Consider the following 27,333-nt stretch of genomic DNA (forward strand, 5'->3'; position numbering starts at 1 on the left):
GGAAGTCATTATGCTAACAGAAATAAGCCAGGCACAGAAAGACAAACATTGCATGTTCTCACTTATTTGTGGAATCTAAAAATCAAAACAGTTGAACTCATGGACATAGAGAGCAGAAAGATTGTTACCAGAGGATGGGAAGGAGAATAAAGGGGCAGTTTCAGTGGGAGGTGGGGAATGGTTAATGGGTAAAAAAAAAAAAAGAAAGAATAAGACCTAGTATTTGATAGCACAACAGGGTGACTATAGTCAATAATAATTTAATTGTACCTTTTAAAATAACTTAAAGAGTATAATTGGATTGTTTGTAACACAAAGGATAAATACTTGAGGAGATGGATAACCTATTTTCCATGACATGATTATTACGCATTGCATGCCTGTATCAAAACATGTAGCCTTTTGGCTCTGTGAGCAGCACCATGGCTGTTGGCAAGAACAAGCACCTTATGAAAGGTGGCAAAAAGGGAGCCGAAAATAGAGTGGTTGATCCATTTTCTAAGAAAGATTGGTGTGATGTAAAAGCACTTGCTATGTTCAATATAAGAAATATTGGAGAGACGCTAGTCACCAGGACTCGAGGAACCAAAATTGCATCTGATAGCCTCAAGCGTCGTGTGTTTGAAGTGAGTCTTGCTGATCTGCAGAATGATGAAGTTGCATTTAGAAAATTCAAGCTGATTGCTGAAGATGTTCAGGAAAAAAACTAACTTCCAGGGCATGGATTTACCCCTGACGAAATGTGTTCCGTGGTCAAAAAATGGCAGACCATGATTGAACCTCACATTGATGTCAAGACTACCGATGGTTATTTGTTTCATCTACTCTGTTGATTTTACTAAAAAACACAATCTGATACAGAAGGCCTCTTATGCTCAGCACCAACAGGTCTGCGAAATCCAGAAGAAAATGATGGAAATTATGACCTGAAAGGTGCAAATGACTTGAAAGAAGTGGTCAATAAATTGATTCCAGGCAGCACTGGAAAAGAGAAAAGCTTTGCCTATCTATTTATCTTCTCCATGATGTCTTTGTTAGAAAAGTAAAAATGCTGAAGATGCCCAAGTTTGATTTGGGAAAATTCATGAAGGTAATTGTTCTGGAAAAGCCACTGGGGATGAGACAGGTGCTAAAGTCGAATTAGCTGATGGATATGAAGCACTGGTCCAAGAATCTGTTTAAAGTTCAAAATTTAAAAAAAAGGCCATCCTGGGCCATAAAGCAAATCTCTGTGAAAAAAATGAAATCATACAAATTATTTTCTCTGATCATAATGGAATTAAACTAAAAATTGGTAACAGAAGTAGATTCGTTGGAAATATTTGGAAATTAAAAAGATTTTTTTTTTTGAGACGGATTCTCACGTTGTCGCCCAGGCTGGAGTGTAGTGGCATGACCTCAGCTCACTGCAACCTCTACCTCCTAGGTTCAAGCAATTCTCTGCCTCAGCCTCCCGAGTAGCTGGAATTACAGGAAACTGCCACCATGCCCAGCTAATTTTTGTATTTTTAGTAGAGATGGGGTTTCACCATGTTGGCCAGGCTGGTCTTGAACTCCTGACCTTGTGATCCACCCGCCTCAGCCTCCCAAAGTGCTGGGATTACAGGCGTGAGCCACCGCACCCGGCCTAAAAAGATATTTATAAAAAGACCATGCCTTCAGAGAAAAAAATTAAGAGAGATATTAGAAAATATTTTGAATTTAAGAAAATGAAAATGCAACAATATCATCATTTCTGTGACATAGCTAAATCAGTACTTAGAGGGAATTTTATAGTATTTAATGTTTATACTAGAAATCAAGAAAGGACTCAAAATAATCTAAGTCTATACCTCAGAAACCCAGAATAAGGTGAGCAGAATAAGAACAATAAGAATATAATTAAATATAATAAGAATAAGAAGAATAAGAACAGAATAAGAAGAGAAAATTAAATCCAAGGCATGCAGAAGGAAGGAGATATTAAAATAAGAGTTAGAATCAACAAAAGTGGCTGAGCGCAGTGGCTCACGCCTGTAATCCCAGCACTTTGGGAGGCTGAAGCAGGTGGATCACGAGGTCAAGAGATCAAGACTATCCTGGCCAACATGGTGAAACCCCGTGTCTACTAAAAATACAAAAATTAGCTGGGTGTGGTGGCGCATGCCTGTAATCCCAGCTAACTCGGGAGGCTGAGGCAGTAGAATCTCGAACCTGGGAGGCAGAGGTTGCAGTGACCGGAGATTGTGCCACTGCACTCCAGCCTGGCCACAGATGGAGACTCCATCTCAAAAAAGAAAAAAAAATCAACAAAACTAAAGACAGAACCGCAATAGAGTAAATCAGTGGAACCAAGAGCTGCTTCTTCAGAAAGAACAACATTGATAAACTTTTAGCTAGATTGGTCATGAAAAAAGAGAGAAGTCACAAATTACCAATATAAAAAATAACAGAATAATTCTACACAATAAAAAGATAATACAGGAATATTATGAATAACTTTATGCCAGTAAATTGATGACCTGGATGACGTGGACACATTCCTTAAAAGACACAAACTACCAAACCTCAGCTAAGAAGAAATAGCTCTAAATCTATGTAAAGAGGCGGAATTTTTAGTTAAAAACCTTCCCATGGGCTGGACATCGTGGCTCATGCCTGTAATCCCAGCACTTTGGGAGGCCAAGGGGGGTGAATCACTTGAAGTCAAGAGTTCAAGACCAGCCTGGTGAGCATGGCGAAACCCCATCTCTACTAAAAATACAAAAAAAGAACAAAGCTGGAGGCATCATGCTACCTGACTTCAAACTATACTACAAGGCTACAGTAACCAAAACAGCATGGTACTGGTACCAAAACAGATATAGATCAATGGAACAGAACAGAGCCCTCAGAAATAACACCGCATATCTACAACTATCTGATCTTTGACAAATCTGAGAAAAACAAGCAATGGGGAAAGGATTCCCTATTTAATAAATGGTGCTGGGAAAACTGGCTAGCCATGTGTAGAAAGCTGAAACTGGATTCCTTCCTTACACCTTATATGAAAATTAATTCAAGATGGGTTAAAGACTTACATGTTAGACCTAAAACCATAAAAACCCTAGAAGAAAACTTAGGCAATACCATTCAGGACATAGGCATGGGCAAGGACTTCATGTCTAAAACACCAAAAGCAATGGCAACAAAAGCCAAAATTGACAAATGGGATCTAATTAAACTAAAGAGCTTCTGCACAGCAGGAGAAACTACCATCAGAGTGAACAGGCAACCCACAAAATGGGAGAAAATTTTCACAACCTACTCATCTGACAAAGGGCTAATATCCAGAATCTACAATGAACTCAAACAAATTTACAAGAAAAAAACAAACAACCCCATCAAAAAGTGGGCGAAGGACATGAACAGACACTTCTCAAAAGAAGACATTTATGCAGCCAAAAAACACATGAAAAAATGCTCACCATCACTGGCCATCAGAGAAATGCAAATCAAAACCACAATGAGATACCATCTCACACCAGTTAGAATGGCAATCATTAAAAAGTCAGGAAACAACAGGTGCTGGAGAGGATGTGGAGAAATAGGAACACTTTTACACTGTTGGTGGGACTGTAAACTAGTTCAACCATTGTGGAAGTCAGTGTGGCGATTCCTCAGGGATCTAGAACTAGAAATACCATTTGACCCAGCCATCCCATTACTGGGTATATACCCAAAGGACTATAAATCATGCTGCTATAAAGACACATGCACACATATGTTTATTGCGGCACTATTCACAATAGCAAAGACTTGGAACCAACCCAAATGTCCAACAATGATAGACTGGATTAAGAAAATGTGGCACATGTACACCATGGAATACTATGCAGCCATAAAAAATGATGAGTTCATGTCCTTTGTAGGGACATGGATGAAATTGGAAATCATCATTCTCAGTAAACTATTGCAAGAACAAAAAACCAAACACCACATATTCTCACTCATAGGTGGGAATTGAACAGTGAGAACACATGGACACAGGAAGGGGAACATGACACTCTGGGGACTGTTGTGGGGTGGGGAGAGAGGGGAGGGATAGCATTGGGAGATATACCTAATGCTAGATGCTGAGTTAGTGGGTGCAGCACACCAGCATGTCACATGTATACATATGTAACTAACCTGCACATTGTGCACATGTACCCTAAAACTTAAAGTATGATAATAAAAAAATAAAAATAAAAAAGCAAAAAAAAAAAAAATTAGCCAGGTTTGGTGGCCTATGCCTGTAGTCCCAGCTACTCAGGAGGCTGAGGCAGGAAAATCACTTGAACCCAGGAGGCAGAGGCTGCAGTGAGATTGCACCACTGCACTCCAGCCTAGGCAACAGAGCAAGATTCTGACTCAAATAAAAAATAAAACAAAATTAAAAAATAAAAATAAAAATCTTCCCATGAGGAAAACTCCAGGCTCAGATTGCTTCATTAGTGAATTCTAATAAGAGGAATTATTTAAGGAATAAATAATACTAAATTTACATAATTTCTTCCAGAAAATTGAAGAAGAGAATACTTCCCACCTTTTTAAGTGGCCAGTTAACAAATAAGTACAGAGAGTAAGAAATAACTTGTTGGATAGTAAAATTAAATGCAGTATGTTTACCAACAATAGATTGTTAAATAAGTGACTATACGAGGCATACTTTGCAGCTGTTAAAGACGACATGGAGCCAAGTGTGCACTGACATGAATAGATTTCTGTGATATATTATCAAGTGAATAAGGCAAGTTGTAGAGTAAGATGTGTGGTATAATGTCATTTGGGTTTTTTATTTGTGGAGTGTGTGTGTGTGTGTGTGTGTGTGTGTGTGTGTGTGTACTCACAGGACCTCTGTGAGCTGGTATATACTAGTATGGCAGTAATGTTGTGAAGATACTGGAATAATTCTGTGTTGAGTTGTAAGTAGCTGTTGTCCTGAGTCTTCCAAGCATTTCTACCTGCCCTAATTGTCTTAGCTCCTTCTAGCCCCATGTCTTCCCAGCTACTAAAGAGATAATATTTAGCACAGCAAAATGTTCTCTAGAACTCTACTTCAGAGCTACATTCTTATAGATGAGGGTACATGCTTAACCAGTTGTTAAATATTTTTAACACAACTTTGTCTGTTTGTATATTACTATAAATATATATATATAAATGTCTGAAAATATTTACTATGTGTTAAAAATATTATTTTGGGACATGGTACTAGGTGAAGGTGGGATAAAAATATTCACTTTGAACAAAACTATGTAGTTTGATTAACAAAAAGCCTATGTTCCATTTGTGATCAATAAAATTTGAGGTATTAACACTTTACAATTCAAGACTTACAATAAAGCTACAGCATGGAATTGTTCTAAGAACAGATATATAAACTAATGGACTAGGAGGTATGTAAAAGAGACAGGACTGAAAGGCATTTTTTTTGGTCATTTAACTTTTAAAAGGTAGGCTAGGCTAAATTGTTTTAAAATTCTAGGTCCTAGAAGAACCTCTATTGCTGCAAACCCTACACTCAAAAAGTCCAATTCATTGGTCTGGTGTGAGTAATATAAAACTTTCTCTGTTATTTCTTTGGGTTGGTAGAATATTCTAGGACTAGACTTGAGAGCCTAGTGGCTCTCCTGCACAGAGAGCCAGCCACATATGCAGAGACATGGTAGGACTGACAAGAAGGGCAGGCTAAATAGCACTTCCTTCGTTTTTAGAGTTAGTGCCCCTGAAACTAAAACTTTGATCCAGTTGAGTAAACTGTGTTCTTCTCTGTTTTAGATGCAGCTGACCTACAGAAAGCAAAGGAACAAAATCAGAGACTGGATGAGGAAATTCTGGCTTTAAGAAATAGGGTTCGATCACTTGACTCAGAAAAAAAGGTGCTTGGTGAAATGGTAAGTTTAATTTACTTCTTAGAACGTATTTAAATGTGTCTACCATAACAATCAACAGCATAAGCAACACAGGTATACAACATGTAAGTTGGTCTTTAGCAGGGACCAATACTGGTGGCTGTAATATCTCAGGGGGATGCCATGCTTTGACCTAGATGCATTCTATCTGTACTTATATTTTATACATTTTAACTACCTATGCTAAACAGCAACATTGTTGCTATCATGTAAATCTAGGATCTTTTAAATAAGGAATTAGATAATAGTTTATAGTTAACACGTTCACCACATAGAAAATATTACTCTATTATATTGGATAAGTTTAAGATTATTAATACTAAATCTTTAACTGTTTATATTTTTAACCATTTCTTCTTAGCAATTTACTGATTTTTAAAAATATGTACTTCCAAATTTTAAATACATCTCTTCAATTTTAGTTTATATTCATTAAATAATCATATATCTAATATCTAAGAAAATACCTGGCATAATACTAGGTGCTTTAGAAATTTTTTTGCAAGAGTGACTAAAGACCCATCAGGATGGCTAATATCAAAACAACAGAGAATAACAAATGTTGATGTGGAAAAATTGGAACCCTTTTGCATTGCTGGTGAGAATCTAAAGTAGTGCAGCCACCATGGAAAACAGTTACTCTAAAAGTTAAATATAGAATCACCATGTGGTCTGACAATTCCACTTCTGGATATATGCCCCAGAGAATTGAAAACAGAGACTCATACATAGATTTGTACATCCATATTCATAGTAGCATTATTCACAATAGCCAGAAGTTGGAAGCAGCTCAGATGCTCGTTGATAGAGGAACAGATAAGCAAAATGTGGTATAGCCATACAATGGAATATTATTCAGCATTAAAAAGGAAAGAAATTCATACACATGCTGCAACATGAATGAACATTGAAGACATTATTCTAAATGAAATAATACAGTCACAAAAGGACAAATAATATGTGATTACACTTATATGGCATGCTTAGAGTAGTGAAAGTCATAGAGACAGAAAGTATTAATAGAATGGTCATTGCCAGTGGCTGGGGAGAGGGAGTAACGGGAGTTATTGTTTAATGGGTATAGAGTTTCAGTGCAAGATGAAGAGTTCTGGAGATGGATGGTGGTGATGGTTGCACAACAGTGTGCCTGACAATGTACTTAATAATATGCTTAATGATGCTTAATGCCACTGAACTGTACACTTAAAAATGGCTAACATGGTAAATTTTGTTATGTGTATTTTACCACAATAAAAATGCAATCATAAAAAGAATGAATAAAAAGTGAAGATTGGTAAGTTGTCTAAGTCTTCATAAATTTATGTATCTAATACATTTATATATTTAATACATGTGTGTATACGTGAAAAAGTTCAGGTAGGGTACATTCCAAGCAGTGTTATTTCTGGAAAGGGAGGACCAGTTGTGATATGAAGGAAAATACCATTTTTTATTCTGTATACCTATGTGTTGAAGATTTACAAGGAGAATGTATTTATATATTACTTGTATAATTAAAAAACAAAACAATAATTTATCCAAACAAAAATTGAGAAGTCTACAAGGTGTTTACTTTTGTATTTAAGGTTGAAAGACTTAAAGGAGAGGTGTGTGAATCTCAAGAGAATAAGCAACTTGGAAACCACTCCCCTGGAAAAACTGTGGGTGGTGAACAGAGAGAACAGGTATTGTATTTTAAAGTTCTGTTCTTTCTGATCTCTAATTTTTGAGTTGCATTTTTACAGAGTATACTAGAGTGATTGGTGCTAATCATTTGCTACTCTTTCTTATTGGGCTGTCTTTTTCTAATGCTCAGCTAATTAGAGTGGAAGAGGAAAGAGGGCTACAGAGGATGTGTTTCTGTTTACTTCTTCCTCATAGAGAACAATTAATTTGGAGAATATAGTAGATTGTTTCTCTGAAGAGAAAAGAATCTTATAAAGATACAATTTGAGCATATCATGGAGAACTAATAAGATGTAGGCTCCAGTGTGTACAGTGTCTACTATATTCAGCATGATCAGCCTCTGAAGTGGTGAGCAAAGCAATCAAACCCAAGACAGACTGATACAAGTGCCAGGGTATATCTAGTAAATAGTGGTTTTAATTTGCCTTTTGAGGGTGTCTAATGGCCATGAATATGTTTTGGCCATTTATATATGTTCTTTTGTGAAGCATCTGTTCAAATCTTTTATACATTTTTAATGGAGTGGTCTGCATTCTTAAAAAATTTATTTTATTTTTATTATTATATTTTTTTTAGAGATAGGTTTTCACTCTGTTGCCCAGGCTGGAGTACAGGGGTGCAGTCCTGGCTCGCTGCAGCCTCAACCTTCCAGGCCCAAGCCATCCTCCTGCTCCAGCCTCTCAAGTAGCTGGGACTATAGGCATGCAGCACCACACTCAACTAATTTTAAAAAATCTTTTTTGTAGAGATGAGGTCTCACTATGTTGTCCAGGCCAGTCTCAAACTCCTGGCCTCAGGTAATCTTCTTGCCTCCCAAAGTGCTGGGATTACAGGCATGTGCCACTGTTTCTGGCTTGTATTCTTTTTTTTTTTTAAGTTTTTAAACTTTTTATTTGCGTATTTAAAATATTGTGCATTCCAATAATTAAAATCATTTGAACAAAAAAAATGGCACTCTGATTAAACCGCATTACAGCCTGCAGGACACCTTGGGCCAGCTTGGTTTTACTCTAGATTTCACTGTCGTCCCACCCCACTTCTTCTACCCCAGAAGGTTGTTCCTTAACCAACATGCAAGTTCTTTCCTTCCCTGCCAGCCAGATAGACAGATGGGAGAGACAGGCACAGCCTTCGTTGTCAGTAGTTCTTTGATGTGAAAGGGGCAGCACAGTCATTTAAACTTGATCCAACCTCTTTGCATCTTACAAAGTTAAACAGCTAAAAGAAGTAAAATAAGAAGGCAATGCTTGTGGAACGTACAGTGCATATTGGCGGTGCACGCCTCATTATGATTCGCCTGCTTGCTTCTCCTGTTCAATCGTTTCTTTGGAAGGCAGTGGATTTTTCTCTTGCGTCTCTGTCTTCTTCAGTTTCGACTTATCGAATTTCTCCATCTCAGCCATATCGGGTTTGTCAGACATAGTTGCCGAGGAAAAGCGGAGTGAGGTGCGTGAGAACGAGCGAAGTCTGGTCTGCGCAGTGGCCACCACCGAGTTCTCTCTTTTTTTTTTTTGAGACAGAGTCTCGCTCTGTCGCCCAGGCTAGAGTGCAGTGGCGTGATGTCGGCTCACTGTAAGCTCCGCCTCCCGGGTTCACACCATTCTCTTGCCTCAGCTTCCCGAGTAGCTGGGACTACAGGCACCCGCCACCACGCCCGGCTAATTTTTTGTATTTTTAGTAGAGACAGGGTTTCACCGTGTTAGCCAGGATGGTCTCAATCTCCTGACCTCGTGATCCACCCGCCTCAGCCTCCCAAAGTGCTGGGATTACAGGTGAAAGCCACCGTGCCCAGCCTCTGGCTTGTATTCTTTCTTTATATTGAGTTGTAGAAGTAGTTTTGTTTTGTTTTTTTACATATTAGAGATGATGTCTCACCATGTTGCCCAAGCTCTCAAACACCTGGCCTGAAGTGATTCTCCATCTTTGGCTTCTTAAAGTGCTGGGATTACATGCATAAGCCGCTACACCTGGCCAAGAGTTCTTTATATATTTTCAATACCAGTCCTTTGTTTTAGATATATGTATTATAAATCTTTTCTTATTCTATGACATGTCTTTCATTTTCTTAATAGTGTTTTATAAAGAGTAGAAGTTTTAAAATTTTGATGGAGGTGAATTCATCAATGTTTTCTTTTATAATTTTGTGATAGGACACAAAAAGCCTATTTAAGAAATCTTTATCTACTCTAAGGTCACAAAATATGTTTCTTATACTTTCTTCTAAATTTTTTATAGTTTTAGTTGCTACATTTAGGTTTATTATCTACTGCAGGTAATTTTTGTATATACTGTGAGGTAAAATTGAGAGGTTCATTCATTTTTAGTGTATATCCAGTTATTCCAGAAAGATTTGGTAAAAAGAGTTATTTCCTTATGGATTAAGGTTGGTGCCTTTATTAAAAACATTTATAAAGATCCACTTCTGGTCTCTGTATTCCATTCTGTTAACCCATGTGTTTATTCTTAGAACAATTCCATTCTGTAACTTTATTGTAAGTCTTGAAATTATAAGGTGTAACACCTTCTTCTCTCAACTCATCAAAGTCATTCTGTGTCCATCTTTGTTCCATTGCTGGTGAGGAGCTGTGTTCCTTTGGAGGAGAAGAGGTGCTCTGATTTTTAGAATTTTCAGCTTTTCTGCTCTGGTTTCTCCCCATCTTTGTGGTTTTATCTACCTTTGGTCTTTGATGATGGTGATGTACAGATGGGGTTTTGGTGTGGATGTCCTTTCTGTTTGTTAGTTTTCCTTCTAACAGTCAGGACCCTCAGCTGCAGGTCTCTTGGAGTTTGCTGGAGGTCCACTCCAGACCCTGTTTGTCTGGGTATCACCAGCAGAGGCTGCAGAACAGCAAATATTGCAGAACAGCAAATGTTGCTGCCTGATCCTTCCTCTGGAAGCTTTGTCTCAGAGGGGCACCCGGCCATATGAGGTGTCAGTCTGCCCCTACTGAGAGGTGCCTCCCAGTTAGGCTACTCAGGTGTCAGGGACCCAATTGAGGAGGCAGTCTGTCTGTTCTCAGATCTCAAACTCCGTGCTGGGAGAACCACTACTCTCTTCAAAGCTGTCAGACAGGGACGTTTAAGTCTGCAGAAGTTTCTGCTGCCTTTTTTGTTCAGCTATGCCCTGCCCCCAGAGGTGGAGTCTACAGAGGCAGGCAGGCCTCCTTGAGCTGCGGTGGGCTTCACCCAGTTTGAGCTTCCCGGCTTCTTTGTTTACCTACTCAAGCCTCAGCAATGGTGGGCACCCCTCCCCAAGCCTCACTGCTGCCTTGCAGTTCGATCTCAGACTGCTGTGCTAGCAGTGAGCAAGGCTCCATGGGCGTGGGACCCTCCGAGCCGGGCGTGGGACCCTCCGAGCCATGCGTGGGATATAATCTCCTGGTGTGCCATTTGCTAAGACCATTGGAAAAGCACAGTATTAGGGTGGGAGTGTCCCAATTTTCCAGGTACCGTCTGTCATGGCTTCCCTTGGCTAGGAAAGGGAATTCCCTGACCCCTTGCTCTTCCCGGGTGAGAAGATGCCCCGCCCTGCTTCGGCTCGTGCTCCGTGGGCTGCACCCACTGTCTGAGAAGCCCCAGTAAGATGAACCCAGTACCTCAGTTGGAAATGCAGAAATCACCCATCTTCTGCGTCGCTCATGCTGGGAGCTGTAGACTGGAGCTGTTCCTATTCGGCCATCTTGGAACCTCCCTCGTGAATTCTTGTCAGGAAATTTTTATCCCCCAAGAGAGAAACTCTATCCATTATCCATTAGTATCCATTTCTTATTTTTCTACCTGCCCCCTCCCCCCAGCCTCTGGCAACCACTAAAGTACTTTCTGCCTTTGAATTTGGCTATCTTGTACATTTTACATAAGTGGAACCATACAATATGTGGACATTTGTGTCTGCCTTCTTTCACTTAGCATAATGTTTTCAAAGTTCATATTGTAGTATGAATTAGTACTTTATCCCTTTCTGTGGCTGACTATTTTATTGTATGGATTTTCTTTTTGAGACAGGGTCTCACTCTGTCACCCAGGCTGGAGTGCATGCTCACTGCAGCCTTGACCTTCCAGGCTCAAGCAATTTTCCCACCTCAGCCTCCTGAGTAGCTAGGACTATAAATGCGCACCACCACACTCAACTAATTTTTGTGATTTTTTAGTAAAGACAAGGTCTGGCTATGTCACCCAGGCTAGTTTCAAACTCCTGAGCTCAAGCAATCATTCCACTTGGCCTCCCAAAATGCTGGGATTATAGACATGAGCCAGTACACCCCACCCTTAGTGAAGTGGCATTGTTGTCAGGGGTAAATACCTGGGGTTCGTCATCTTACACTAAGAAGATTAAAGACAGAGACACACGTGGGTGGGCTAAGGAGTGGAAAGTTTAATAGGCAGAGGAAAAGAGAGAGGAGAGCAGCTTTCTCTTTTGTGAGAGAGAGGGGCATCCAAAAGATAAAAGCTGGCCTGCAGCAGACTGCATCAGATTTTATAGGCAAGCTTGAGGAGGCAGTGTCTGATTTATGTAGGGCCTACAGATTGGTTCAACTAGGTGTGACGTTTACATAGCATGTGGGGAAGGCTTGTCACCCCACCCTAATCTTAATATGCAAATGGGCTTTCTACTTGGCCAGCGCCATCTTGTCTGCTCCATACTGTACACGTGGCTGGCAAAGAGAAGAGAAGATGGAGCTGCCATTTTGATCATGCCTAGTCCCAGGTAGCCTTTTCCTATTGGCACAACTGCTGGCATTCACCTTTGCAAGCTTCCAGCTTATTTGTCTATGTCTGCAGCTCAATTTTACAGGCTGCTCTTTGTTAGAGAAGAAAATGATTTGGGGGCTGCTTTTCATTAAAATTAAAACCTTAATGAGGACTTCCTTACCCTCACTATCTGCCTAAATAATTTCTTTTTAACTCCTATCTTATTCCCCCCTCAGGAGTGGTAACCCTAACTGTGGAGACCAGCTCAGTCAGGGAGACCCTCACCCAGTGGCGCTAGAGGAATTAAAGACACACACACAGAAATATAGAGGTGTGAAGTGGGAAAGCAGGGGTCTCACAGCCTTCAGAGCTGAGAGCCCCGAACAGAGATTTACCCACATATTTATTAACAGCAAGCCAGTCATTAGCATTGTTTCTACAGATATTAAATTAACTAAAAGTATCCCTTATGGGAAACGAAGGGATGGGCTAAATTAAAGGAATAGGTTGGGCTAGTTAACTGCAGCAGGAGCATGTCCTTAAGGCACAGATCGCTCATGCTATTGTTTGTGGCTTAAGAATGCCTTTAAGCGGTTTTCCGCCCTGGGTGGGCCAAAACATGAGGGCATGTTCCTTGCCCTCATTCCGGTAAGCCCACCACCTTCCAGCGTGGGCATTATGGCCATGATGAACATGTCACAGTGCAGCAGAGATTTTGTTTATGGTCAGTTTTGGGGCCAGATTTCAGGGGGCTTGTTCCCAACACCTGTTATCAAGGGGTTTTAGGTGATGACTCTTTCTCACTACTTTCTGCAGAAAAGGGGTGCCCTGTGGAGAACACCAGCTGGGGCTTCTCTTAGGGTCCTCAGAAGAAAGGCATGTCGATGCATGGTTCTGTCTGCAGCACCATTTGGAGTTTGATTGCTATCTGCCATTCCAATGGGTTGTAATACTCATTTGCCTCCACCAGATGCTGCTGAAATGTTAATAGTGTTAATATAAAAGTAACATTAACAAATGTTAATAATGTTAGTATAAAAGGATAAGTGGCATTGGATTTGGGTGGCTAGAGTAACTAGTGTTAACCTTGGCTAAATCTTTCCTGCAATTATTAATTCTTTTGTGACTTCCACAGACCGTTTATGACATGTTTAAACTTTCTGACTTTTCCTAAACATCCCTCTTTTTAAACAAGCAGTTATTCTCTTCAGGATAAAATTTTACCATACAAGATCCTTTCTTATATAAAATCTATTTTCTTTATAAACTTCTTTGCATAGCTAGGGTGTGACATATTACCAAACCCAATAAAAAGTCCTGGTGGACTCAGCAATAGTGAAACCTTCATGTTTACCTCTTGTCAGTAGCTATTATTCCTGCTATAAGGATAATAATTAAGCAAAATACTACAGCAGTGGAAACTCTCTGTCCAATATTTCAGTTAGAAGGTGCTACCATGTATAACTCTACCACAAATAGTAGAGTGTGTGTAGCGATTCCCACAAGGGTGGTGTAGTAGATCATTTCCATCTAAAATTTTAGTTGCCAAGATATAGAATTTCCCTTTTGGAAGGTCTATGAAGTTCCTTGGTTTTATTTTCCTAAAGAAATTTCTGCGTTATGAGCAACCTACTCACTTTTATTACATGGCAGGATTTGCAGGATAATTGGCCAGAACTATCTGGCCAATTATTTGCAGGATAATTGATCCAGATTTTTACATTACCCATACATTTTTCTTTTTCCCAAGCTGCAGGAAATCATTACTTGATTCACAAGAATAAGCAGGGCTAGCCTAAAATGTAGGGAAAAAAAACTTAAAAATAACCAATGAAACTAGAATTTAATGACAAATGTATAAGTTTTGGAGCATAATTTTTTTCTCTCTAGTCCTCATTTTCAGTAAAAACAAATTATGATAGGACCATGTTGTTTGTAGAATAAAGTTTAGTCATATACTTGGCCTGATTATTTGCATAAAGTGCAACAAGAATAATTATTTCTACATAGGCCTTTTGGATTGGATTTGATGAAACTCTGTTCCAGGAGGAATCTCAAATAATACCTTTTAAAGCCAAGTCCAGCCATGGGTTTTTATCCTTAAATACCTGTGAGTTGGGTGATCCTTTCCTCTTAAGTTCCTAAGATAAGCTTGGAGCACCTGGACCTGTTAGAAAGTGACATTTTTTACTGACCATAGGTCAGGAATCTGCCTGGGGGACTGTGTAGGCAACAATATGAGGCTAGTCTTCCCCAAAGGGCTTTTATTGGCTCTTCAAGTCAAGCTTGATTCCTTTAGAAGAAATACAGCCTTCCAGTCAAAGTCTTGATAAAGACAACCAGTTTCTCCAATTGTATTCTGTTGAAAAAGAAAATGGATTCTTATTGTACTGATGCAAATAACTATATTGCCATAAGTTAAGAATACGTTTCCAAATTTTAGAGGAACCAGGCAATGAGAAAGAAGTATGCCTTAAATTTTATTCACAAGAGTATACCTTACTTAATTGTTAAAAGCTGTAGATAGCTTAAAATAAAAGTTTCCTTGACACTGAAGGACAAAATAAGGATGAGCAATGTTTCAAGCAAAAAGTTAAAAAAGATTATGTCAGACTTCTTTTAGTGTAGTTCATGCAGTTATCTCCTGTTTGATATTCATGAACATTTCAGCTCCTCATGAATCCTGTGTGTTTTTTCTCTATTCCAATGTTAGAAACCTGCATTTGAGAACACCTGTAAAAGTCCTATAGCTTGATTATAAACTATCTTTTGAAAAGGAACAAAGCAATACAACAATTGCCTGCAGATGACAAAATTTCCAGCATAGTTACAGTTAAAAACACGACTGACAAAGAGATTTGGTTATCTTTGTGGTTTACAATAACTTCAATCTTAATTATGATTAATAGCATATACATAGACATTAGAATTTTAGAAATCCCATACAATTTTGGAACATGTATTAGTATTGTTCAACAAAATATAACCTAAAGAAGATTGGACATCATTTTAGCAATTCCATGTAATTAAATATGTCAAATAATCCTGTTTACCTCTTCTTTGGATGGTTTAGAGACCCTCTGAACCATCCAGAAAGCCAGGCATCAGGAGAGACAATTTTGAAACTTGAAGTTTGATTTTTGGAAGCCTGATAAATATGTTAGAGGTTTAAAACACTTGATATTATGAAATGGAAGTCTAGATTACCATAAATTATTTTGCCAAAATGATAAGTCAAAAAGCAAAAATCTTTCATTAACCTTTACTATTACGTGAAAATCCTGTTCAAAGCCAAAATTTATCCTTGCATTGGTTTAATGTTAACCCCATTTTTTTTAGATGGAATTTTGCTCTTGTTGCCCAGGCTGGAGTGCAATGGTGCAATCTCAGCTCACTGCAACCTCTGCCTCTCAGATTCGAGTGATTCTCCTGCCTCAGCCTCCCAAGTAGTTGGGATTACTGGTATGTGCCACCACACCTGGGTAATTTTTGTATTTTTAGTAGAGACGGGGTTTCACCGTGTTGTTCAGGCTGGTCTCTAACTCCTGACCTCAGGTGATCCATCCGCCTTGGCCTCCCAGAGTGCTGGGATTACAGACATGAGCCACCGTGCCCAGCCTCAATTTTTTAATGAAACCTCATAGACAATACCATCTAATCTTAACCAATTTGACCATGAGGTGAAATCTTTGCAAACCTTTTGTAACCCTTTTGCTGAAATGCGAATTAGTGTCTTAAGACAACTTTGCTGTGCTTTTATTTCAATGCTCAATTTATGAAAAAATGATATAATACCCTTTTGAATTTAGTTAAGGTTTACACATGGGATTTTTGCCAGATTAATTTTTATAATCTTTCCATAACTTGCTTAAACCTTCAGCTTTATCTTATCTAATTTAAGACAATTCTTTATGACTAGGTAAAATTTACATTTCCATACTTTCTTATAATCTCTTACTAAAAAACATATTTTACTGTTTTTACACACCTTGCATGTAAATCTATTTTTAGTAGTCAAAATTACATATTATGATAGTAACTCATAGCAATTTTTAACTTTAATGTGAAACCTGGTAAGTTGTTTTGATTATGTACTAGGCACAGAGAAAATCACTTACTTTTTCCAGCATAGTTAGGGGGTTGTTAATTTTGTATGTCCCCAGCCCTTACCAAATTGTGAAGCAGGTGGTTTACAACCTTGAAACCTTTAGCAAACCTAGTATTTGACTTACATGATTTAGATCACCTGTTTATATTGATAACACTTGTATTTTACCAATAATCTTGAAGACTTTTTTATTTCTTAAAAATTAAAGTCACATTAACTAAGAAGCATTACAGCTTTTATCTTTCCTTTAAAATATTTAAGCATTTATTTTTCTCTAAGACAATTAATTAGAGCTCTTTTTATAGATATTACACACAACACATATATAGCTACCCAGACAGAAGATTTAGCACTTGTAAAATTTTTCATTTGCTAGTTTCTTAATTGGATTACTGGCTTCAGGGTGGAGACCTTGGAGGAACACGACTAGGAAAGCATGCATTTTTATGGCTGAATAAGCTGGCACAGCTGAAGGCAAAGACAGATCCTCAAAATAAAGGGTGCCATTTTATAGTGGATCCTGGATTCCCAAAAGGAGGGAAATACTATGGGGAGAAGACAGTGTAGTGCTTCTACCACGCATCTCATTGCAAGGCAACCCAAAGGCAATCAGCCCATTTTGTAATCAGCCCACTCCCCATGGGAGCCTTATCCCTTAATTTGGGGTGGGGATGTTTCCAAATCTTCCGGGTAGCCAACAGCATGCTTCTCTGATCCAGATGTGCAAAGAAGTAAGTATCCCTCCATAACTTCTATTAGCCATCCCTTAAGGTATATTTTTTACCTAGTTATTACACAAAGCCCTCTCATAATGCAAAGTAATTTGATAGCCCCAAAACTTAAAACCATCAGATAACACAATGCGAAACAGAACAGCACCTTTGATTTTGAGAGAGATGTAGCTGCTTTTAATTCCTGGGGTTTCATGAGGGAAACAGAGGGTGTGTACGTGTGTGTGTGTATGTGTTTTCCCAAAACAGGGTCTGTGGCACCTCCTCTGTTTTTCCCAAGAAGTCCCAGACTACCAGAAGTTATCTTAGGGCCTCTTATGTGTGCATTAAGAGTGGCAAGACAAAAAAAATGGAGAAAAATAGTTCAGTTGACTGAAGAAAAAAGCCCTTTTTCAAAAAAACAGGCTCCAAGAAGAGAAAAGCATAAAGGTTTTTAAAATATACCCTTGCTTGGATATCCGCTTTTAATCAAACTGAGCACTCTTTAAGAAAATCCTTTTAAGTCCCTTGTTACTTGACTTTAGCCACACCTAGCAGTTAAGTTTTTCAGCTTTTGAACTTTACAAAAAGTAACCTCACAGGTGAAACCAACCAGCCTAAATTAGGTTATGACTTAGCTGCGAGTGTATGAGGTATTTTCAAAGGGGTGGTAAGCAGCTTTTGAAACCTTCATTGCAAAACTGTGACTGAGACAGTGAAAGAGTTTTGACCCAACCAACTCCATCTTGCTTCCAGCCCCAAAGCTGCCCTTCCCCATCCCTAGACATAGGCTGAACCAACTCTGGAAGGAGTGTGATTTACAGTTTATAGTCTAAAACAAAGATGATAACCATCCCTCTTTCCTGGGGAGCAGACCAAGAAACTAGTCACAAGATTAGAAACCATTGCTTGGGAGCCATGCAGCTGGAGGCTACAAGATTTTGACTCTCTCTAAACTGCTCTCAAGGTCAGTGCTTAAGATATTTTGCAAACCCCGCCCTTGATAGATCAACTAGCACCACCCAGATCGATAAAATGGCTTATCTGAGTTTGAGACCCCCACCCAGGAACTGACTTAGCACAGAAGACAGTCACCATTTTACAATGGTGGGGACTAAAACAAAGTATTGCCATGTGGTTACAGGTCATGTTCCGAAGGACATAAAACAAGAAGAGGCCTGTAGCAAAGTTTGTTACTGAACACTTTGTTGAGCTGGCTTGATCAACAGGCTTATGAGGTCCTGGGCCTGTATCCTAACCTAAGGTACCCTTTCTTTTAACAGAATCATGCAGAAAGACACACAATGCACACTAGACTGGCTGCAACTTAAGACCAACCTCACAAATCCTCTTTCATTAATTAAAACTTAACAGAGAATATAAACAGTGATTCTTATTATTCATTTTACCAGTTTGCACAGAGAGAGAGAAGCCAAAAGCCCACTGGTTAAAAAAAAAACCGTAAAACTTTTACCCTTTTGCCAGTATGTCAAGCTTCTGGGTTCCCTTCCTCCAAGCTCAACTCTAAGCAAAGCATTTTAAGGTTTGGGGAAATTAACTTTTCCCAGTTTGGAGGAACATTATAAACCATGAAAAAAGGAAGGAAAAATACCATAGAAAAGTCTCGGGGTTTGTGTTGTAGAATTGGAGGAGCTGACAATGTAGATGGTGGGCAGGAAGAACCAGGGCATCTGGAAGTTGCATTTGAGGGTTTCAATTAGGGTTGTCAATAAGTACTGCCTCTCTTCCAATTGGGAATGATGATTCCCCTGTTTCTTTACTCTCTCTATTTTCTCTTTTCCTTTTGACCTACCATAGGAGACAGATTGCTCATCTCCAAATTTCTCTGCTGTCTGCGGAGCTGCCTGGTTTTCAACCTTGGTTAGGGTTTGGCTTAGGAATAGCATAATATCCCTTTGTGAGAGGTTAAACACTTGAGTTAAATTTTGGAGGCCAGGTGTGGTGGCTCATGCCTGTAATCCCAGCACTTTGGGGGGCCAAGGTGGGCAGATCACGAGGTCAGGAGATCAAGACCATCCTTGCCAATATGGTGAAAACCCGTCTTTACTAAAAATACAATAATTAGCTGGATGTGGTGGCACACGCCTGTGGTCCCAGCTACTTGGGAGGCTGAGGCAGGAGAATCACTTGAACCTGGGAAGTGGAGGTTGCAGTGAGGTGAGATCGCGCCACTGCACTCCAGCCTGGGTGAGAGAGCAAGACTCCGTTTCAAAAAAAAAAAAAAATGTGGAAAGCTTCTATATACTTATCAGCATCGTCAGAAAATTGGCCTAAGTCTCCCTTTATTTGCCTAAGGTCCTGCAATGAGAAGGGAACTTGAGGGGGGCCCCAAATAAGGGGGATCCTCAGATGGTTTCCCTGGAAGTTGCTTCTCTAATTTGGGGGAATCATTCTCTGTAGGTCGCCTGATATGACTGCTATAAGGGCTGGGTTGATTGTGCAACTCTTGTGAAGATCTAGTAAAAAGGCCATGCTCTTGTGTAAAAGAAAATGAGCCACTTTTTCTTCAAAGTCTCAGGGTCAAAGGAGTCCTTGTGCTTCAGAAAGCACTACAGAGAGGTGCAAGCTGAAGATGGTCTGTTACCCATTTAGAAAGAGAAGCGAGAAAAAGGCGTCCCTTTAATCCTATTCCTTTCAGTGTGACCCAGGGTGGAGGGGAAGACAGTGAGGGCATCCCCCTTACTGTTTTCCCTCCTTGGTTCCTGGGTCCCAGCACCTTGTTAAATGTGCCACTCATGGTTGCGGGCATGACCCCCAGTTGTGGAACCAGAGGAACTAAGCAACTGGGATTAGTCACGATTACCCATGTGACTCTAGTCCTCCACTTGTGATTTCCCTTTGACTTCCTAGACTTATGTGATCTGCATCCTCCCTCAAAGATGGATCTCAGGAAATACTATGTAATAGTTGCATTTGGACAAGGCCCCTTTAATGGAGAAAGGGTACTAGATTGAACTCTATATCCTACTATCATGGCCCATGCTAAAGCGTTTCCCCTTAGAGAATGGTTCCAGTTAACTTCTGGACCTAAAATTCCCTTACTATTTAAGTACTGTTCTAATTGGAGGTAGAATAGGTGCCTTAAAAGAACGTAGGGACCAAATGGCATTTTTCCTGCCGATGGGACAGTGTCAAGACTAAAATTTGGTGCCAGAGGCCATTTGTGGCCAATTAGGACTCCTAATTGTCAAAAGCAGAGTTTTCCCATTTACAGAAGGGGCATAGAGCCTGATTTTTAGTATATTGGTGCAAAAAGGGAGGAGAATTGGGAGGAGAATTTGGCAAAGGGACGACATTGTGCCTCATGGAGAGGATTTTTATTCCTCTAGGTGGCGCTATTGACCTTGAAATGCCATGTGCTCTCCAGACTAAGGGCAGAGAGTGACCTGTCTGAGACCAGCTTGGTCGTGGAGACCCTAACCCAGCAGTGCTAGAGGAATTAAAGACACACACAGAAATATAGAGTGTGAAGTGGGAAATCAGGTGTCTCACAGCCTTCAGAGCTGACAGCCTTGAACAGAGATTTACCCACATATTTATTGACAGTAAGCCAGTGATAAACATTGTTTCTATAGATTGTAGATTAACTAAAAGTATTCCTTACGGGAAACAAAGGGATGGGCCGAAATAAAGGGATGGGCTCTGGCTAGTTATCTGCAGCATGAACATGTCCTCAAGGCACAGATCGCTCATGCTATTGTTTGTGGTTTAAGAACACCTTAAGTGGTTTTCCACCCTGGGTGGGCCAGGTGTTCCTTGCCCTCATTCTGGTAAACCGACAACCTTCCAGTGTGGGCGTCAAGGGCATCATGAGCATGTCACAGTGCTGCTCAAAGAGATTTTGTTTATGGCCAGTTTTGGGGCCAGTTTATGGCCAGATTTGGGGGCCCATTCCCAACAGACCTGGAAATGCCATATGCTTTCCTGACCAAGGGCAGAGAGTGACCTGGAAATGCCATGTGCTCTCCAGACTAAGGGCAGGGAGTGACCTCACTGTGGCGGGTGGGGGGAGACCCTCTGATCCTAGAAAATCACAACAGCATTCCCCTGAGTTATATCCTTTGTTACTATAGAATTTCCTGATCTTGCCTAACAGGATCACTTCCCTGAGCTGTAAAACTTCCCGCATATTGCACATAGAGAGAGGATAGGAGACATGGCAACCATGGATAGAAAAGAAGGAAATTTTGCAACAGGATAGCTGGAGATCCTTTTTGCCAACACCCAGTCAAGCAGTCAGAGGCTGGGATTAGTCCAGAAGCCTTTGGATAATAGCAGGTTGTTGCCCTGACCAGAAATCCTCAGTTGTTTCAGGACCTCACTCAGCCCCATGCGGTGGCTAGGCCCAACATGAAAAGTAACTCATTCAAACATGGCCAACATGCCCAGCAACCCGTGGTTTCTGGGGGATTCTCCATGTTCTCCTCAGTACACCTCACCCCTGTGTCTTGTAAGGCTGGCAGCCACGCTAACCGTGTTTTTAAATGGTTGATGGGAGCCCAGTATTTTTTATTTAGTTTGATTTGATTCTAAAATGGAGGCCAAGAACCTCAAAATTAAAGGACAGATTTGAGATTTGCTCCCATTCTTACCACTCTGATGGTTATACCTTCTGTTCCTGTTCTGATCCTGGACAAGCCACCAAGGGAAGTAGCATCATTGTCTGGGGAAATATCCAGGGTTCATTGTCTCATGCCAAGAAGATTAAGGACATGGACATACATGGGTGGGTTAAGGAGGGGAAAGTTTAATAGGCAGAAGAAAGGAGAGAGGAGAGCAGCTCTCTCTTGTGAGAGAGAGGGGCATCTGAAAGGGAAAAGCTGACCTGCAGCAGACTGCAGCAGATTTTATAGGCAGGATTGAGGAGGCAGTGTCTGATTTATGTAGGGCCAACAGATTGTCCTGACCAGGTATAATATTTACATAGTGTGTGGGGAAGGTTTGTCACCCCACCCTGATCTTAATATGCAAATGGGTTTTCTACTTGGCCAGCGCCATCTTGTCTGCTCCTTACTGTATATGTGGCTGGCAAAGAGAAGGGAAGATGGAGCCGCCATTTTGATCATGCCTAGTCCCAGGTAGCCTTTTCCTATTGGCACAACTGCCGGCATTCACCTGTGCAAGTTTTCAGTTTGCTTGTCTATGTCTGCAGCTCAATTTTACAGACTGCTCTTTGTTAGAAAAGAAAATGATTTTGGGGGTGCTTTTCATGAAAAGTAAAACCTTAATGAGGACTTCCTTACCCTCAAAATCTTCCTAAATAATTTCTTTTTAACTCCTATATCATTAGTGTATTTTATGTCGCTATAAAGGAGTACCCGAGGCTGGTTAATTTATAAAGACGAGGTTTATTTTGGCTTACAGTTCTGCAAGCTGTACAAGAAGCATAATGATGGCATCTGCTTCTGGTGAGGGCCTTAGGAAGCTTACAGTCATGGCTGAAGGCAAAGAAGTAGTAGGTCTGTCTCATGGTGAGAGAGGGGGAAGGGCTTAGCCTCTTTTTAACAACCATATCTCATGTGAACTTATTACTGTGGGGAGGGTACTAAGCCATTCATGAAGGATTCCCCCTCATGATCAAAATGCCTCCCACTAATGCCCCACCTCCAACATTGGAGATCACATTTCAACATGAGATTTGGTGAGGACAAATATCCAAACTATATCAGATATACATCACATTTTGTTTATTTATTCATCAATTGGACATTTGATAGTTTCTACTTTGTGATTATTATGAATAATTCTGTTATGAATGTTCATTTATAAGTTTTTGTATGGACATATGTTTTCATGTCTCTTGGGGATATTCCTAGAAGTGGAATTATTGGGTCATATGCTAACTCTACATTTAACCTTCTGAGGAACTACCAGACTGTTTTCCAATGAAGATGTACTATTTTACATCTCATCAGCAGTGTATGAGGGTTGCAGTTTCTCCATATCTTCTCCAACACTTATCCTTCTTTTTTATTATAACCATCCTAGCTGGTGTGAAGTAGTGTCTCAATGTGGTTTTGATTTATATTTCCTGAATGACTAATGATACTGAGTATCTGCCTTTTCAAGTGCTTGTTAGCCATTTGCATATCTTCTTTGGTGAAAATTTTTTCAAATCCTTTACCAATTTTAATGGAGTTATTTATTCTTTTTGTTGAGTCTCAGGAGCTCTTTATATATTTTGTATATTAGTCTCTTATGTGTTTTGTTTTCGTTTTTGTTTTTGAGATGGAGTCATGCTCTGTCGCCCAGGCTGGAGTGCAATGGCGAGATCTCAGCTCACTGCAACCTCAGCCTACCAGGTTCAAGTGATTCTCCTGCCTCACCCTCCCAAGTAGCTGAGATTATAGGCACCTGCCATCATACCCAGCTAATTTTTGTATTTTTGTATAGATGGGGTTTCACCATGTTGGCCAGGCTGGTCTTGAACTCCTGACCTCAGGTGATCCACACACCTTGGCCTCCCAAAGTGCTGGGATTACAGGCATAAGCCACTGTGCTTGGCCTCTTAGGTGTTGAATTGTGTCCTGTACCCTGAAATATATTGAAGTCCTAACCCCCAGGACCTGTAAATGTGACATTATTTGGAAATAGTACTTTTGAAGAAGTAATCAAATTAAGATGAGTTAATTAGGGTGGGCCTTAATCCAATATGACTGGTACAATTATAACAAGAAGAAATGCCATGTGAAGACAGTCATACACAGAGAGAATGCCATGTGATTACAGAGGCAGAGACTGGAATGATGCAGCTGCAAGCCAAAAAAAAAAAAACAAGAATAAGCAGCCATCATCAGAAGCTAGGAAGAGTCAAGAAATGATGCTACCCAGAGTCTCAAAAGGAATATGGCCCTACTAATACCTTGATTTCAGATTTCTAGCCTTCAAAACTGTGAGATAATACATTTCTATTGTTTTAAGACCCCAGTTTGTGGGATTTTGTTATGGTAACTAGAATGCAACAGTATTAAGAGATGTGGCCTTTGGGAGATGATTTGGCAGAGCCCTCATGAATGGCATTAGCATTTTTGTAAAAGGCCTTGAGGTTGAAATGAGACTGTGTGTGGACACTGTGTTCATTTCTTCTGGAAAATGCAGCAACAAGGTGCCAACTTGGAAGCAGAAAGGTGCCTCACCAGACACCAAACCTACTAGTACCTTAATCTTAAACTTCTCGCCTCTAGAACTCTGATAAATAAACTTCTATTGTTTGTAAATTACCTAGTCTATGGTATTTTGTTATAATAGTCCAAAGGGACTAAGATACTCCCTGCATCCAGCCTCTGGAAACCACCATTTTACTATCTGTCTCTATGATTTTGACTACTCTAGATATTTCATATAAGGGGAATCATGTACTATTTATCTTTTTGTGATTGGCTTATTTAATTTAGAATGATGTCTTCAAGGTTCATCCATGTTATAGCATGTGTCAGAATTTCCTTCTTTTTTAAGGCTGAATCATATTGCATTGAATGTATATACCACATTTTGCTGATCTATTTGTCTGTCAGTGGATACTTGGGTGGCTTCCACATTTTAGCTAGTGTAAATAATGGGTGTACAAATACATATTTGCATCCCTGCTTTAAATTCTTTGGGGTATATAACCAGAAGTGAAATTGTCAGATGATATGGAAATTCTGTGTCTACTTTTTCTTGAGGAACTGTCATACTATTCTCCACAGGAACTATATCACTTTACATTTCCACCAACCGTGTAGAATCATACTAATTTCTCCACATCATTGCCAACATTTGTTGTTGTCTGTTTTTTTCATGGTAGCCATCCTAAGTGTGTGAAGTGGTACTATGGTTTGGATATGGCTTGTCCCTGCCAAAACTCCTTTTCATGTTGAAATTTGATTCCCAGTGTGGTGGTATTGGGAGGTGGTACCGAGTGACAGGTGTTTGGGTCATGGGGAAGATCCCTCATGAATAGATTAAGGCCTTCCTGTGGAGGTGAGTCTTGCTCTTGCAAGATTTAGTTTATGTGAAGAATCTGAATTCCTCGGGAGGCTGAGGCAAGAGAATCACTTGAACCCAGGAGGTGGAGGTTGCAGTGAGCTGGGATTGCGCCACTGCACTGCACTGCAGCCTGGACGAGAGAGCAAGACTCCATCTCAAAAAAAAAAAAAAAAAAAGAATCTGACTTCCTTGGTTTCTCTCTTGCCTTCTCTTTTTCCACGTGCTCTTCTTGCTCATATCTGCTCCTCTTCCATTTTTCACCATAAGCTGAAATAGCATAAGGCCCTTACCACATGCAGCTGCTCAGTCTTGAACTTGCTAGCCACCAGAAGCATGAACCAAATAACCCCCTTTTCTTTATAAATTATCCAGCTCAGGTATTGTTATAGCAATACAAAATGGACTAAGGTAGTATCTCATAGTGGTTTTGATTTGCATTTCCCTAGTGATTATTAATGTTAGCATCTTTTGAGGTGTTTATTAGTCATTTGTTTATCTTCTTTGGAGAAATATCTATTAAATTATTTCCTCATTATTGAATTAGGTTTGGTTTTTCTTATAAGTTTTAAAGTTCTCTGTATATTCTAGATGTTAATATTCCTTATCAGATACATGATTTGCAAATATTTTCTCCTACTTTGTAGGTTGCCTTTCTACTTTGTTGACAGTGTTATTTTATTTATTTATGACACAGGGTCTTGCTCTGTCACTCAGGCAGGAGTGCAATGGTAAGATCATAGCTCACCGTAACCTCCAACTCCTGTGCTCAAGGAATCCTCCTGCCATAGCCTCCTGAGTAGCTAGGACCAAAGACAAATGCCACCATGCCTAGCTAATTAAAAAGAAATTGTAGAGATGGGATCTTGTTGTGTTGCCCAGGCTGGTCTCAAATTCCTGGCCTCAAGCAATCCTCCCACCTTGGCCTCCCAAAGTGGTAGGATTACAGGTGTGAGCCACCACACTTGGCCAGTAGTGTTATTTCCATATTCAAAAGTTTTTAGTTTTTATGCAATACAGTTTTTAAATTTTTCTTTTGTTGCCTGTGTCTTTGATGTCATATCCAAGAAATCATTGCCAAATCCATAGTCATGGAGAGTTCCCCCTAAGTTTTCTGCAAAAGAATTTTACAGTTTTAGCTCTTGTGTTTAGGTCTTTTTATCCTTTTTGAATTAATTTTTGTGAATAGTGTAAGGTAAGTGTCTAACTTAGTTTTTTTCATGTGGATGTTGTTTTATCACCATTTACTAGAAAACTTTCTTTCCTCCATCGTCTTTGCACTCTTGTTGAAAATCATTCAACAAAGAAAAGCCCTAGACTTGATGGCTTCGTTCTACCAAACATTTAAATATCAAATATGCAAGATCAAATATGCGAGAGTTTGTTTCTGGGATGTCTATTGTATTCCCTTGGTCTATATATTTGTCTTTATTCAATTATGACACTGTTTTGAACACTGCAGCTTTGTAGTAAGTTTTGAAATCAGAAAGTGTGAGTCCTCCAACTTTTGTTTTTCTTTTTCAAGATTGTTGTGGCTGTTTGGGGTCCCTTTAGGCTCTGTACAAATTTTAGGATGGATTGTTTTATTTCTGCAAAAAATATTGTTGGAATTTTGATAGGGATTATATTGAATCTGTAGATAGCTTTGGATAGTATTTACATTGTAACAATAGTTTTCCAATCATGAACATGAATGTCTTTCCATTTATTTTCATCTTCCTAATTTTTTCACCAATGTTTTCTATCTTTTATTGTACAAGTCTTTCACCTCTCTTCATTAAGCTAATTCCTAAGTATTTCATTCTTTTTCATGCTATTATAAATAGAATTGTTTTCTTAATTTCCTTTCCAGATTGTTCATTGTTAGAGTATAGAAATGCAACTAATTTATGTGTGTTGACTTCATGTCCTACTACTTTTTGAATTTATTAGCTCTAAGAAGTTTTTTTGGTGAAATATTTAGGTTTCTATTTATGAGATCATATAATCTGCAAACAGAGATATCGTTATGCAGCATAATGGACTACATTTGTGACAGTAGTCCCATATGGTTATAATACTGTGTTTTCATTGTACCTTTTCTGATTAGATATGTTTAGATATACAAATACCATTTTGTTTAATTGCCTATAGTATTTAATACAGTAACATGCTGTACAGATTTGTAGCCTGGGAGCACTAGGCTAAACCATATAGCCTAGGTGTGTAATAGGATATACCATCTAGGTTTGTGTAAGT

General features: G+C 39.5%; 1 protein-coding gene and 2 pseudogenes across 10 annotated transcripts in view; 2 read left to right on the forward strand and 1 right to left on the reverse strand.

Moving 5' to 3' along the window:
• The window catches only part of CCDC30 (coiled-coil domain containing 30), a 201,084-nt gene that overhangs the window by 35,210 nt on the left and 138,541 nt on the right, over positions 1 to 27,333 (forward strand). For all 10 annotated transcript variants that reach the window (NM_001355226.2, NM_001395384.1, NM_001395517.1 and 7 more), the window contains 2 exons: positions 5,782 to 5,897; positions 7,502 to 7,600. Coding sequence is in view for 7 of the 10 variants with exons in the window: in NM_001395384.1 (NP_001382313.1) it covers positions 5,782 to 5,897; positions 7,502 to 7,600 (215 nt within the window). In the remaining 3 variants the exon portion in view is untranslated. The remainder of the gene's footprint in view (positions 1 to 5,781; positions 5,898 to 7,501; positions 7,601 to 27,333) is intronic.
• On the forward strand, positions 399 to 1,197 carry RPS3AP11 (RPS3A pseudogene 11; annotated as a pseudogene).
• TMSB4XP1 (TMSB4X pseudogene 1) lies at positions 8,480 to 9,098 on the reverse strand (annotated as a pseudogene).

The sequence above is a fragment of the Homo sapiens genome, chromosome 1, assembly GCF_000001405.40.
Source record: "Homo sapiens chromosome 1, GRCh38.p14 Primary Assembly".
In the NCBI taxonomy this organism is placed as follows: domain Eukaryota; kingdom Metazoa; phylum Chordata; class Mammalia; order Primates; family Hominidae; genus Homo; species Homo sapiens.